General features: G+C 41.4%; 1 protein-coding gene across 23 annotated transcripts in view, besides 4 other annotated features; it reads right to left on the bottom strand.

Annotated features, from left to right (window-relative positions):
* The window catches only part of VPS8 (VPS8 subunit of CORVET complex), a 240,449-nt gene extending 233,791 nt beyond the window's left edge, over nt 1-6,658 (bottom strand). For 13 of the 23 annotated variants that reach the window (NR_146113.2, XM_024453428.2, NM_001349292.2 and 10 more), the window contains exon 1: nt 6,599-6,658. The gene's annotated coding sequence lies outside the window, so the exon portion shown is untranslated. Of the gene's footprint in view, nt 1-1,379; nt 1,703-1,942; nt 3,041-4,956; nt 5,080-6,034; nt 6,318-6,537 lie in introns of those variants that run through there. The other 10 variants (XM_024453426.2, XM_047447823.1, XM_047447824.1 and 7 more) reach the window with 7 other exon arrangements.
* Nucleotides 4,348-4,397: a silencer, noted in NCBI's record as "silent region_14971". NCBI's record gives its function as "represses an Ori minimal core promoter by ATAC-STARR-seq in GM12878 lymphoblastoid cells {active_cell/tissue: GM12878}" and the evidence as "EXISTENCE:reporter gene assay evidence [ECO:0000049][PMID:35858748]".
* Nucleotides 4,408-4,497: a silencer, noted in NCBI's record as "silent region_14970". NCBI's record gives its function as "represses an Ori minimal core promoter by ATAC-STARR-seq in GM12878 lymphoblastoid cells {active_cell/tissue: GM12878}" and the evidence as "EXISTENCE:reporter gene assay evidence [ECO:0000049][PMID:35858748]".
* Nucleotides 6,531-6,730: an enhancer, noted in NCBI's record as "active region_20915". NCBI's record gives its function as "activates an Ori minimal core promoter by ATAC-STARR-seq in GM12878 lymphoblastoid cells {active_cell/tissue: GM12878}" and the evidence as "EXISTENCE:reporter gene assay evidence [ECO:0000049][PMID:35858748]".
* Nucleotides 6,791-6,840: an enhancer, noted in NCBI's record as "active region_20914". NCBI's record gives its function as "activates an Ori minimal core promoter by ATAC-STARR-seq in GM12878 lymphoblastoid cells {active_cell/tissue: GM12878}" and the evidence as "EXISTENCE:reporter gene assay evidence [ECO:0000049][PMID:35858748]".

Below are 12,857 nucleotides of genomic sequence, written 5' to 3'. Positions count from 1 at the left end.
GTTTAATCCTGACATTCTTTTCCTCCTAAAAGTGTCATATGAGATACTTTTTCACATTACAATGAAATAGAATCAAGTTTTTATTTACTATATAATGCTAGAAAACAATCACAAAATCATGATATAGTACAACATTACATGCAAATTTTATTTTTGGCCTTCCCAATCCAAGCATTTCTCTTCATTCCTTTGTTTTGTTTTGTGGTTTGCTTTGTAAAGGGAAAAATAAAATGCAATGGTGGGTTAACTTCTATTAGTTTTCTATTACCTTCTGGCAAATGGACTTTTTTTTTTTTTTTTTTGAGACAGGTTCCCCCTCTGTCACCCAGGCTGGAGTGCAGTGGCATAAGCTCGGCTCATTACAACCTCTGCCTCCCAGGTCAAGCAATCCTCCCACTTCAGCCTCCCAAGTAGCTGGGTCTACAGGCGCACACCACCATGCCCAGCTAATTTTTTGAATTTTTCATAGAGATGATGTTGGCCAGGCTGGTCTCAAACTCCTGGGCTCAAGCCATCTGACCGCCTCAGCCTCCCAAAGTGCTGGGATTACAGGTGTAAGCCACCACGCCCAGCACAAGTGGACTTATTTTTAACAGATTCCCAATGCCTCCAGGATAAAATCCCAAATTCTAAGCCTGTGACTCCAGATATCACACGAGCTGATCCTTCTGCCTCCTTCCCTTACAATTGAATTTATTATTTTTGCACTAAGAGTCCTTCATGAATAGCTTCCACTTTCCCTTCATGTCTGCTCAAGCTGATTCACCTTCCCTTTCCTTTCCTTTTTCTCTACATTTATCTAACTTCCTTTCTTCCTTCTGGGCACCGTTCAAACTGGATCTGCCTATGACCTCTTCCTTCCCTAACCATCCTCTGAATTCAGAAAACATGTCTTCTTTTAAAACAGTGGCTTGGCTCTTTCCTCATGCTGATTCATTAGTTAATTTACCATGTGACTCTTTTCTCCCCAGCTATATAATAAAAATGGGGCCATGCTCCTTTGAATATTCCACATCACTGGGCTTACTGGCTTGCACAGCTAGGTAGACATTCGAAAAATGTTTGATTAACATAGGAACTAAGAGACAGGAATAACATCTGTGTTGCAAATTAAATCTATCAGTGTTATTACTTGTAATTGTTAAGCTCCAGAGGATATTATTTGACTCACAGCATATAGGAATCTATACCATAAGAAGCCAAGTTATAATTGAATACTACTTATATGTAGTCAAGCTTGTCAACCACTGCAGGTCATATTTATCAACTATCGGCTAAAACTTTGCTTCCTTAGGAAGGCCTTTTTTTGCCCTGCTCAACTAGGCTGTTTCCTGTTAGTATGCACCCATAACATCGTTCTCCTCTTTTACTACACTTACCACATTGTAATGATTTCCTCATTGTCTAAACCACCATTCCTTGCCCCCAGTTGGAATGCAGGTTCCATGAGAGAGCAAAGACCAGATCTGCCTTGTTCACCATTCTATTCCCCGTGCCGATATGACACAGCAGCTGATCAACCCACCCATCTACCCATCCACCCATTCCTCCCTCCCTCCCTCCCTCCCTAGGTAAATACCCAAGCAAGACTGCATCACTGGCTTCCAGAATCTCAAATAGCAGTTCTGGTCACGTAATACAAAGTATGGTTAGTTACACTACTCCAAAACGCCTCCATCTGTGCAAGTTCCATTCTTTGCATCTAGGAGAGATATTTTTAAATCACTTAGCTCATTTATAACATGATGCAAATCCCACAATCTCAGATGTTTTATGTTCTTTTACGTTAATTCAGCTTAGAGGCCAAGATGAATACAGTGGAAATGTACCATACTTCCATTCAATTTGCAGGATTTCATCTATTATCTTCAGCAACGGGAAGGAGAGAAAGAAATGATTCATATAGATGATTCTATGAATCATGATTCATGATTCTGCATACCTCCACTCAATAACTTCTTGCTTCACAGTGGGCACAGAATAGGAGATGGTCAGCTGCTGTTCTATGTCTCAGTTCTCACATGCCTCACACCCAAGCAGTTCACGTCACCTGTGCTCAAAATAACAAACGCCATGCAGTTCCAACATGGAAAAACAAGATCTGGCCGTATGGGGCTTCCTGAGAGACCCACCGCTTGTCAGTCTCTGATATGACTCCCTCTTGGGGTACTTTGAGGGTACTCAATTTTCACCTTATTCATTTAGATACAGACCCTATTTAGAGAAACATTACTATATACTGGGATGGGCTGCTTTACTTGACCCTGGAATTTCTTTCCAAGAAGGCACATTTAGGTAATTGTAGCTCACAGTGCCAGAACTGCCACGACGAAAAAGCCCAACCCTCTGTTTCTCTTTCTGTTGTTGGTGAATGTCTAAATGAGGAGAGTGATCATAAGTACATACAGATTAAAAAATGTTAAAAAGAAAAGTAAGGGGAAGGAACAGTGCCTAAGACCTTCCTGTATACAGTGAGTGCTAAGTTACTGCTATGAATTGTCAGACAATCAGCTCCAGCCTAGAAAAGAAAAATCTAATCCCCTATCACAATATACAAAACAATAATATGAACGAAGTCTACAAATATCTAGATAATGTAGAAATTCTAACTTTATTGATCAGTTTTATATCAATATGTGTGTGAGGTAATAAGTGAAATAAATAACAGAGAAAAATGATCACTTCCAGCTTCTATAATACTGTCTCCACTATCATGAGAATGTCTCTTCTCAGACCCACTTCAGCTCCAAAGAACTCCTCCTAAAAAGCACAAGGGCCTTGTGTACGCTGAAATATATTCCCTTTTCTTCTTCACATAACTGACTGATGCAGGTAAATTCTTGTAAGTTAAATGCGCAAAAGACAGGATTCCACTTAGGTAAAGGCTGAGTAGATGATGGCCTTCTTTATTAATTTGCAATTAACTGTCATCTCAATTTCTCTTGGTTAGGTGTCAAGAAGGATATAGAGTCATGAGAGATTTATTCTTTTTTTTTTTTTTTTTTTAAGAGCAGGAAGTAACTGGAAGCGTCTTGCTGAACTGCAACGGAAAAAACAAAGGTTAAAACACCCCAGCACCACTGCCACCTTTCCTGGAGGGCAACTGCTTCTCCTCCATTCCAACCATGTGATTTTGGTGGTGCTGCCAATCAAGTACCCTATCTGCCTAGCTAGCGGAGCAGAAGAGTAGGCACATCACATTCTTGGGTCCTATGTGGCCAATCAAGGTACTTCTGGAATTTCTCTTTATTCTAGGGTGCTTAATCTTGGATGGCATAACACAGGAGTCATCTGCAGTCACATCTTTTATGCATTTATATACAGTCATGTGCCCCAAAAAGACGTTTTGGGTCAACGACAGACCACATATACAACCATGGTCCCCTAACATTACACATAATGGAGCAGAAAAATGCCTGTAGCCCAGTGATGTCACAGCTGTTGTAATGAATGCATTACTCATCTGTCTGTGGTGATGCTGATGTAAACAGACCTACCGCACTGCCAGTAGTATAAAAGCTAAGCACATACAATTATGTGCAGTACATAATACTTGATAATAAACTATGTGCCAGTTTATGTATTTGCTATCCTATACTTTTTATCTTTAGAGTGTACTCATCCACTTATTTAAAAATTTAAAAATTAGCTGTAAAACAGTTTCAGGCAGGTCCTTCAGGAGGTATTCCAGAAGGCACTGTTATCATAAGAGATGACAGTTCCCTATGTGTTACTGCCTCTAAAGACATTCCACCGGGACCTTCCTGACTCTGTGTAGGCCTAGAGTAATGTGTGTGTTTGCGTCTTCGTTTTTAAAGATTAAAATTTTTTGAAATAGAAAAAAGCTAACAGAATAAGGATATAAAGAAAATATTTTTGTACAGCTAATTGTACAATGTGTTTGTATTTTAAGCTAAGTTTTATCACAAAGAAGTTAAAAACTTTTTTAAATTAAAAAGTTTATAACATAAAAGTTACATTACAGTAAGCTAAGGTTAATTTATTATTGGAGAAAGAAAAAATTTTTAATAAATTCAGTGTAGCCTAAGTGTACAGTGTTCAAAAAGTCTACAGTAGTGTACAATAATGTCCTAGGCCTTCACACTCACTCACTACTCACTGCCTCACCCACAGCAACTTCCAGTCCTGCAAACTCCATCCATGGTAAGTGCCCCACACAGGTTCACATTTTTCAATCTTTTAAACTGTATTTTTACTGTACCTTTTCTATGTTTAGATATACAAATACTTGGCCATTGTGTTACAACCACCTACAGTATTCAGTACAGTAACATGCTGTGCTGGTTTATAGCCTAGCAGCAACAGGCCATCCCACATAGTCTAGGTGTGTAGCAGACTACACCATCTAGGTTTGTGTAAGTACACTATGATGCATGCACAATGACAAAATTTGCCTAACCACACATTTCTCAGAACATATCCCCTAACTGTCCCATGACTGTAACAGGAAGAATGAGGCTTGCAATTACAGTTGCAGAGGAGATAGGGAACTGGGGGTTACTGGTCCTTTGCAGAAAGGGAGAGAGACACAAGTACTCCATCACTGGAGTCACTGGATTTAGTGATATAGTGATACCCCAGCCCCTTCCAGGTTTGGAGCCAATAAATCCCTTTTAGCTTAAGCCCATTTGAATTTTCTGTCACTTGCAACAGAAATATCTTTGACTAAAAAAGTATAATTGCTATTACAGTAAACCTAAGAAATTCATAACAGTGAAAAATCCAACGCAAAGCTATATTTCCTTGCTAAAACACAGAACACATTTAATAATGTCATACAGCGTGAAGATAAGTCAAATATTCATTCAAGATTCAGTTAAGAATACAACAGTTTGATCTTACCACTATGTACCGATGACACCTACAGCTGTGGATCAAGAGAACATACGATCTAAACTCTATGAAAGCTATCAATAGATCCAAAGTTAAACATACTTCATTAAATTCAAAAGATCTTACTTCTCATTCACATACATAACTGACATTTTGTGTCACACTGGTTGAAATGTCAATGGAATAGTGAGATACAGCTAAGAATCACCAACATGTCCCAATATTCTGGAAGACAGAAAACATCCATCTGCTGACAATGGTCCAGATACGAAGCAAATATATTAAATATAAAGAAAAAATCAACATATTACTCTGTTAGAGCTCTGGAAAGAATTTTCTCACAAATGCCTCTTTGACCATATAAAGCCCAGTAGTTCAACGAATTTTTTTTCCATTTATCTTTATTGCATATTCTATGGAACAGGCCAGCTATTGCCAGAGGATTCAATACCTATTCTGTGCTTAAATTTAACCATGAGCAAACCCACGTCTTACACAAACATATGCAGATTCTCCATCCACATTTATATTAGATATACCTCAAACCCACACAGGCAGACATAGACATACACAGACAATTAACATGTAATTGTCTCCCAAATGCAGACATTTGGAGTAAGGTTTAGCACCACAAGCTAACATCCATGCTTGTTTTGCTTGGGTTTTGGGGTTTTTCAGTAGGGGAAAGTAGAGTATGGTAGAGGGTGGATGGTGCAGAGGCCAGAAGCCTTCCTATTCATTCTAACAAGAATCTAAGAAGTGGAGGGGGCCTGCTTATTTAAAGAAGGCTCCCCAGCTAGCTATTCCTGATAACCCACGGCCATGGAACCTCTCACCGATCCTACCTCCTCCCACCCTATCCTCCTGTAAAGCACCCCCATTTTGTACACCCAGACACTCTGAGCAGCTGTTTCCCTCCTTCCCCAGATGCCAAGCACAAAGAACTGGCCAAGGCACAGGAGTAGCCTCGAACTTCAGAGGCCCACCTTTCACCCTGCTGCCCTCACTCTGGTGCACAACTTGCACGCGGAGACAAACTGGAACCAGCCTCACAGGGTGCGCACCGATCCTAAGAGGTGGACACCCCATCTAAGCCTCAGGCTCAGGCACCTTGATATCAGTCCCTGGAGGCTAAAGGGGTCCACACCTGTTTCCCAGGCCCGACAGACCGGCTACACACCTGTTCCGCCCGGGAGTGGGGAGGGGCATGACACCCGCCGCCTAGGCTCACAGTCGGGGGAGCGGGCGCGCCAGTCCCTCAGCCTAATTGCCGCACGACTGTAACAGGACAGAATGAGGCTTGCAATTATAGTCGCAAAGTAGATAGGGAACTGAGGGGTTACTGGCCCTTTGCAGAAAGGGAGAGATACACAAATACATCACCGGAGTCACTGGATTTAGTGATACCTCAGCCCCTTCCAGGTTTGGAGCCAATAAATCCCTTTTTACTTAAGCCCATTTGAATTTTCACATTCATTTGGAACCAGTAAGTGGAAATTGCCCGACCCAGTTCCGGGCCAACGTACGACACGCCCCTCCACTCGAGAATCAACCCCGCCCGGCCCGTGGCTCGGGTCCGGTTAGCCCGTCAGGGGCTGCTCTGTTCGCTCCCCGAGGTCCCGCCGCTGTCGCGCGGGGAGGAGACGCCGAGGCTCAGAGACCTGTCGCGCGCTCTCCTCCTACCCTGAATACGGCCCCTCAATCCTGTCTCCTTCCACGGGCCCGCTCTCTGGAAACTCGTTACCTGAGCTTGCTGCCATTCCGGCCGTGGACCGCCGGCCCACGTGACCGCACCCACTGCTCTAGCCTCACGCACGCGCACTACCTACCACTGCGGGCAGCGCTTCCGCTTTCCTCCTCGCACTGCTCCCCCTCCTGGGCGGTCCGCGCCTCTTCACCACGCCCCTATTTAAAGGGCCAGAGATACGCCGTCTTCCCCCCTACGGAAAAAATGGGTGATTCACATCTTGAGGACCAAGAGAATGGAAACGTCGAAAGAGTAGCGCAGACAAATAAATAACAGTCCTTGAGGTGAGAGGAGAAAGCTCCTCCTTTAAGAAAGTGAACTTACTTGCAGCCAGCCCAGAAGGGAAGTTGATTCCCTGCCTTTTGGAGTTTGCAACCAGTAAATTTTTTTTAACTTTTTTTTTTTTTTAAAAGATGAACTCAGAATTGCCTATTTATTGTGTCAAATAAGTACAATAGGCACACACATACTAAAATACCAACTATTATCTTGTAATATATCATCAGTGTTGCTCCCCAAAATACATCTTAACACCAAAAATACAGGAGAAACATAGTCTCAAATAAAGGAAACATCTGAAAAATGAACAAAAACGTATGCTTATTTCTCTTATCGCTCCTGAAGAAAGGTGAAAGCTTTCAGAACAGACTGGTTTCTAGAGTCATCACTGTACGTAACATTAGCCCCAGGACACAGATTTTAGGCCTGCTGGGGGCTATATAGGTCAAGAAAACAGGAGGAAGAACACCAGAAGATACTCTTGGAAGGAGATACAGAAAATATTCGGTTGGGCAGACATTTTTGAGCATCAGCTAGGTTCACTAGACTTCTGGGCCTTCAGAAGACCCGAAGGTGTTGCCCTGTCCTCCAGGTATTTATTTTCTAAGAATTCAGTGTACAGACATAACAAAATACAAGGCAGGCTGTTTTGAGTAATATAAAGAAAGACATTGAACCACCATTTTCGCACAGACAGGGGGAAAGGGTGAAACACTCAAGGAAGGATGTGGTATCTTGTCAGGGCCTTGAAGGATTTCAGTAGCAGAGAGCAGGGAGAATGCCTAGCTGAGGGAAGGGTGGGATCAAAGGCAGTACAAAGCAAGTTTGGGAACTAGTTATTGGCCTGATGTAGCCGTGGTGTGGCCAGTGGCTTTCAACCTTCTTTTAATCATCCCTCACAGTAAGAAATACATTTCAGGCCAGGTGCGGTGACTCATGCCTGCAATCCCAGCACTTTGGGAGGCTGAGGCAGGTGGTCAGGAGTTCAAGACCAGCCTGACCAACATGGAGAAACCCTGTCTCTACTAAAAATACAAAAATTAGCCAGGTGTGGTGGCATGCACCTGTGGTCCCAGCTACTCGGGAGGCTGAGGCAGGAGAATTGCTTGAACCCAGGAGGCAGAGGTTGCAGCAGTGAGCCAAGATTGTGCCATTGCACTCCAGCCTGGGTAACAGAGTGAGACTCCGTCTCAAAAAAAAAAAAAGATACATTTCAGCCATGGCCTAGTATAAAAACACACACAGTATGCGCATATGTGTGAGTGTGCATTATAGATAGATAGATAGATAGATAGATAGATAGATAGATATGCTGAAACAGTAATTGCCCTTAGAGTGTACAATGCAACTTGGTATTTTCTATTCTATTCTCTTTTTTTAAGTGCTGGTTACTGAATTCATTTCAGTACTCAGTGATGCAGAGCAACCCATAGTTTGAAGACACTGGTGTAGTGTGTATTAGAGATGTGGTGGGCTATGAGGCTGGAAAGGCTAGGACCAGATCCAGGAAGACATTGCACGCTAAGCTGGGGTGTTCTGCTCTTCTGGTGAGAGTCTCCAGAGGAACTCGAGCAGAGGAGTGGCAAGATGATAGCTGTGCTTTAGAAGGCTGGAAACCGGCCTTTGGTTCTGAATATCACATTTTTCTAGTAAAGCTATTAAACTAGAGACTGTCTACAGAAGGATAAGCAAGCTGGTGAGACCAGAAAGCCTGTGTGACAGAGAACTTTTGAAAGTATCCAGAGGAAAAGAAATTAGCAGAAGTAGGGGAGAGCAGGGTCATAGGGGTGAGCAGTGGAAAGGTAGCTATTAGGTTGGTACACAAGTAATTGCGGTTTTTGCCATTACTTTAAAAAACTGACCCTTTTGAAATATCTCTGCAACACTCATAGACTTATTCTGAATAGCTGTAGAAAGAAAGCAAGCCTACGACCTGTGTATGGACGTTGCAGAGAGGCAGATTTCAACTTATAATAAAGAATATTTTAGGATGGTCCAGACTGACTCTGAGACCTCTCCAAAGTAACAGCCCTTTTATGTACCTCTGTTCACAGCAGGAAGTAATCTCAAATGCTATCCTTTCCAGGGCTGTTTGCCTTAATAATAATAAAAAAAAATGTGTGCTTATTGTAGAAAACTTGGAAAATTCAGGAAATATTTTAAAATAAAGCAGAAATTACCCACATCCCAGAAAAAGGCACTTATAGTTTTGGCTTATCCGTTGGATCTTTTTCTTTGTATATTTACATTTGTGACATAATAGAACTGCATAGAATATTTAGTTGTGTATTCTATATATTTATAGGATATATAGTTAATAATCCATCCTCTTTTTTTCACTATTATATCTTGAGCACTATCCACCATCACTAAAATTGTTCACAAATATTATTTGTCATGGCTACATAATTATTAATGATATAGTTTCATGTATTTCATTATTCCACTATTTTTGGACATATACAGGAGTTCCTATTTTTTACTGCTAACAAGAACATTGCCATGAATATCCTTACACATTATCTTTGCCCACATTTTAAAATTATTTCCTTCCTTAGGCTAGCAACCTATAAGTGGAATTACTGATTCAAAGGCTTTGAAAACTCTTAAGTCTGTGAATACCCGTGGTCAAACTGCCTTCCAGAAATGTCAGGCCAGTTTTCATTCTCACCAGAAGCTCTCAGTGGTGCCCATCACACGCACCCCCACTGGCATTTATTTTATCTTAAAAAAAAAAAGATTTGCCAATATGATAGATGAAATGGTCTCTCATTTTAACCTGTATGGGATTACTATTGGAGTGGAATATCTATATAAATTTATCAGCCCTTTATAATTATTCTGGGAATGCAGTTTCACTGCTGGATTTGTGATTGCAAATAGTACTGAGTGAATTGTTACAGACTTGTGAGGAAAAAAAAACAGAGAATGATGTTTAAAATAAATGATGTGGTCACACCAAGTTATAGGCAAATTATATTGTGGTGTGCTGCACTAACAAAGGGTAGTGGGAGAATTGAGTCATCACACAGTATTACAATATTCATGTGAATATTGGCTCCAGCAAAATATCATTCCTTATATTAAATCAAAATTGTAGATTTGCATTTCCTCATTTGGTAGTTTTGTTTGTATTCAATTTATTTTTTTAGTTTTATAGATGCATAAAATCTATAAAAATCAGGAGCTCTTAGTTTTGTGTTTGCATATATACATACACATATATGTATGCAACATTATAAAAAATTATAAGCTAACTCTAGATATCTGTGAGAATCTTTTCCCCTTACAAAGGATCTGAACGATATCCAAGTTTGAGAAACAGTGATACTGGAATTTCTTAAAGTTTCATTTGTACTTATCTAAACACAGGTATTGAGATTTTTTTGCAAGGCAAAATTTGCATCAGCTTATATATTGGAATTTTTCCATATAGAATAGTGTAATGATTTTCTTCTTTTTGGAAAGAGTACCAAAAGCTCTACTATGTTTGGGGTTCAGAGAGTATGTTTTGACTTAAAATGTACCATTCATCAGTTAACTTTCTACAGGTCAGTAAGACCTAGACAGAAGAATGTTTGTGTTTACTAAACTTGTAAGTAAGAGAAAGCAGTTGAGCAGATAGTGATTACAATGGAGCTTTTGTGAAGTGGTCTTAAGAGAAATTAAGCCAATGAGAAAAAAGGTTGCATGTGAGCTCTCAGAGCCTTGGGAAGCAGTGAGGGCTGGCCTGCGGGGTGCACAGGAGCTAGAAGAGGGCGCCACTGAGGGCTGCCACAGTTGGATGGTGTCCTTACACCGGCTCTATTGCCTCCAGCTCTCCCCAAGAGTGAAGGATGCAGACCTCGACCCAGACATCACTATTACCCCTGCATCTAGAATAAGCCACATCTCTTCTGAAGGAAAAAAATGTCTGTTCCTGAGAGCAAAAGGCAGAGAATAGGAGATGGATGCCTTTGTCATTTCTTTTTTGCTCACAATCACAAAATAAACTGGCCTCTTTTCCTTTTTTAAAAAGGGAACTTGTTGGAGCACAGAGAACTTTTAGGGCAGTGAAATGATTCTGTATGATGCTATAATAGTGGAAACATCATAAATTTGTCCAAAGCCACAAAATGTACAACACCGAGAATGAACCCTAAGGTAAACTGTAGATGTGGATGATAATGATGTAATGATGTGTCAGTGCAGGTCCATCAGCTGTAACTAATGTAGCACTCTGGTGGAGGAGACCATCTGTGCCTGGGGCAGGCAGTGTATGAGAAGTCTCTGTACCTTCCTCTCAATTTTGCTGTGAACCTAAAATCACTCTAAAGAATCAAGCTTATTAAAATAATTTGGCCGGATGAGGTGGCTCACGCCTGTAATCCCAGAACTTTGGTAGGCCAAGGAGGATGGATCACCTGAGGTCAGGAGTTTGAGACCAGCCTGGCCAACATGGCGAAAGCCCGTCTCTACTAAAAATACAAAAATTAGCCCGGCGTGGTGGCACCTGCAATCCCAGCTACTCAGGAGGCTGAGGCAGGAGAATCGCTTGAACCTGGGAGGCGGAGGTTGAAGTGAGTCGAGATCGTGCTACTGCACTCCAGCCTGGGTAACAGAGCGAGACTCTGTCTCAAAAAAATAATAAATAATAATGAAAATAATAATGATTTTAAAAGCCAAAACCAAAACCTGGTGTACAGGGTTTTTAATCTAAAAATCAGGAGTCTTTAGTTTTGTGTTTGCATGTATACATATGCAAACTTCATTGAGTCAAAATGTCCAAGCAGGCTGGAGAGGCATAAAATTGGTTCTCTGTAAGTGATTCAACCTAGTCCAGCTGTCACTCTCATGTTCCCTCTGCCTGGGGTGTTCCTCTCTCAAGATAACCACTTGGCTCACTCACTCACCTTCTTCAGGGCTTTGCTCAAATGTCACTGCATTAGTCAGGGCAATAAATACAAGGAAGATGAGGAGCAGTTCTCTTCTCCACTCAGTTCTCGGGAACCCAGTTTCTTTCCATCTGGTGACACTGTTTTCTAAACACATGGCCTCTAAATGCTCTGAGGCAGAAGAGAGGGGTGCAGAAAGCCCACTGACTCTGAATTGCCTTGGCCTGAAAGTGACATGCGCCCCTTCGGCTCACAGTCCATTGGCCAGCACCAGCCACCCAGCCCTGCTTTATTACGACAGAGGCCAGGGAGTGTAGAGGAGCACAGAATTCTAGGGAGTATAGCTGGCTCCTGCCACAGTCACCTCCGGGAAGTCTTCCCTAGCCACTCTCATCCTCCCCACATTCTGTCACCACTCTCCTATGCTTTATTTTTTTCTATAGTACTTGTCATCATCCAACATACCATATGTGTACTTATTTATCTGTTAAGTTTCTGTCTTCCCCACCAGTACATAAGCACTATGAGAGCAGAGACTTTTGTCTAGTTCGTTTATGGTTGTACTCCTTGCATCTAGAATAGTACCTGGCACAGAGTAGGAGCTCCATAAATTTGTGTGACATAAATGAACAAATTCTGCAATGACAGCCTATATTTGTGTGTGAAGGAGGTGTCACATGCATGAACCTGAGAATGCTTCCAAAGTCAGGATCGAGGAATAAAGATCTCCCTTACAGCATACTCCAGCATTGACTGAGTACCTATTATGTGCCAGGCACAGTGCTTGTTGCCAGGAACACAAATATGAATGAAAGCCAGTACCTGATCCCTAGCCAGGAAGACAACACTAAAAAACACAACATTTACAAGATCCATGATAGAAATAAATTATGGAAGCTCAAAAGGCCAAATTCTCCTGACCTATAGCAAGTATCATGTTTTATATCCAAACATTACTAGAATAGCAACAAAAAAAGAGGGACTCAGGAATCATAAATTGCTTCCCAAAGTCGTAAAAGGAATAGTATCTATATTCTCTACCGTTTTGTATTCTCAACAGCAGGCTGGCTTTCACTTTTCATTCACTCATTCATTCTAATGCC

Source organism: Homo sapiens, chromosome 3, assembly GCF_000001405.40.
Source record: "Homo sapiens chromosome 3, GRCh38.p14 Primary Assembly".
Lineage (NCBI taxonomy): Eukaryota > Metazoa > Chordata > Mammalia > Primates > Hominidae > Homo > Homo sapiens.
This window is presented reverse-complemented; position numbering and strand designations above follow the sequence as displayed.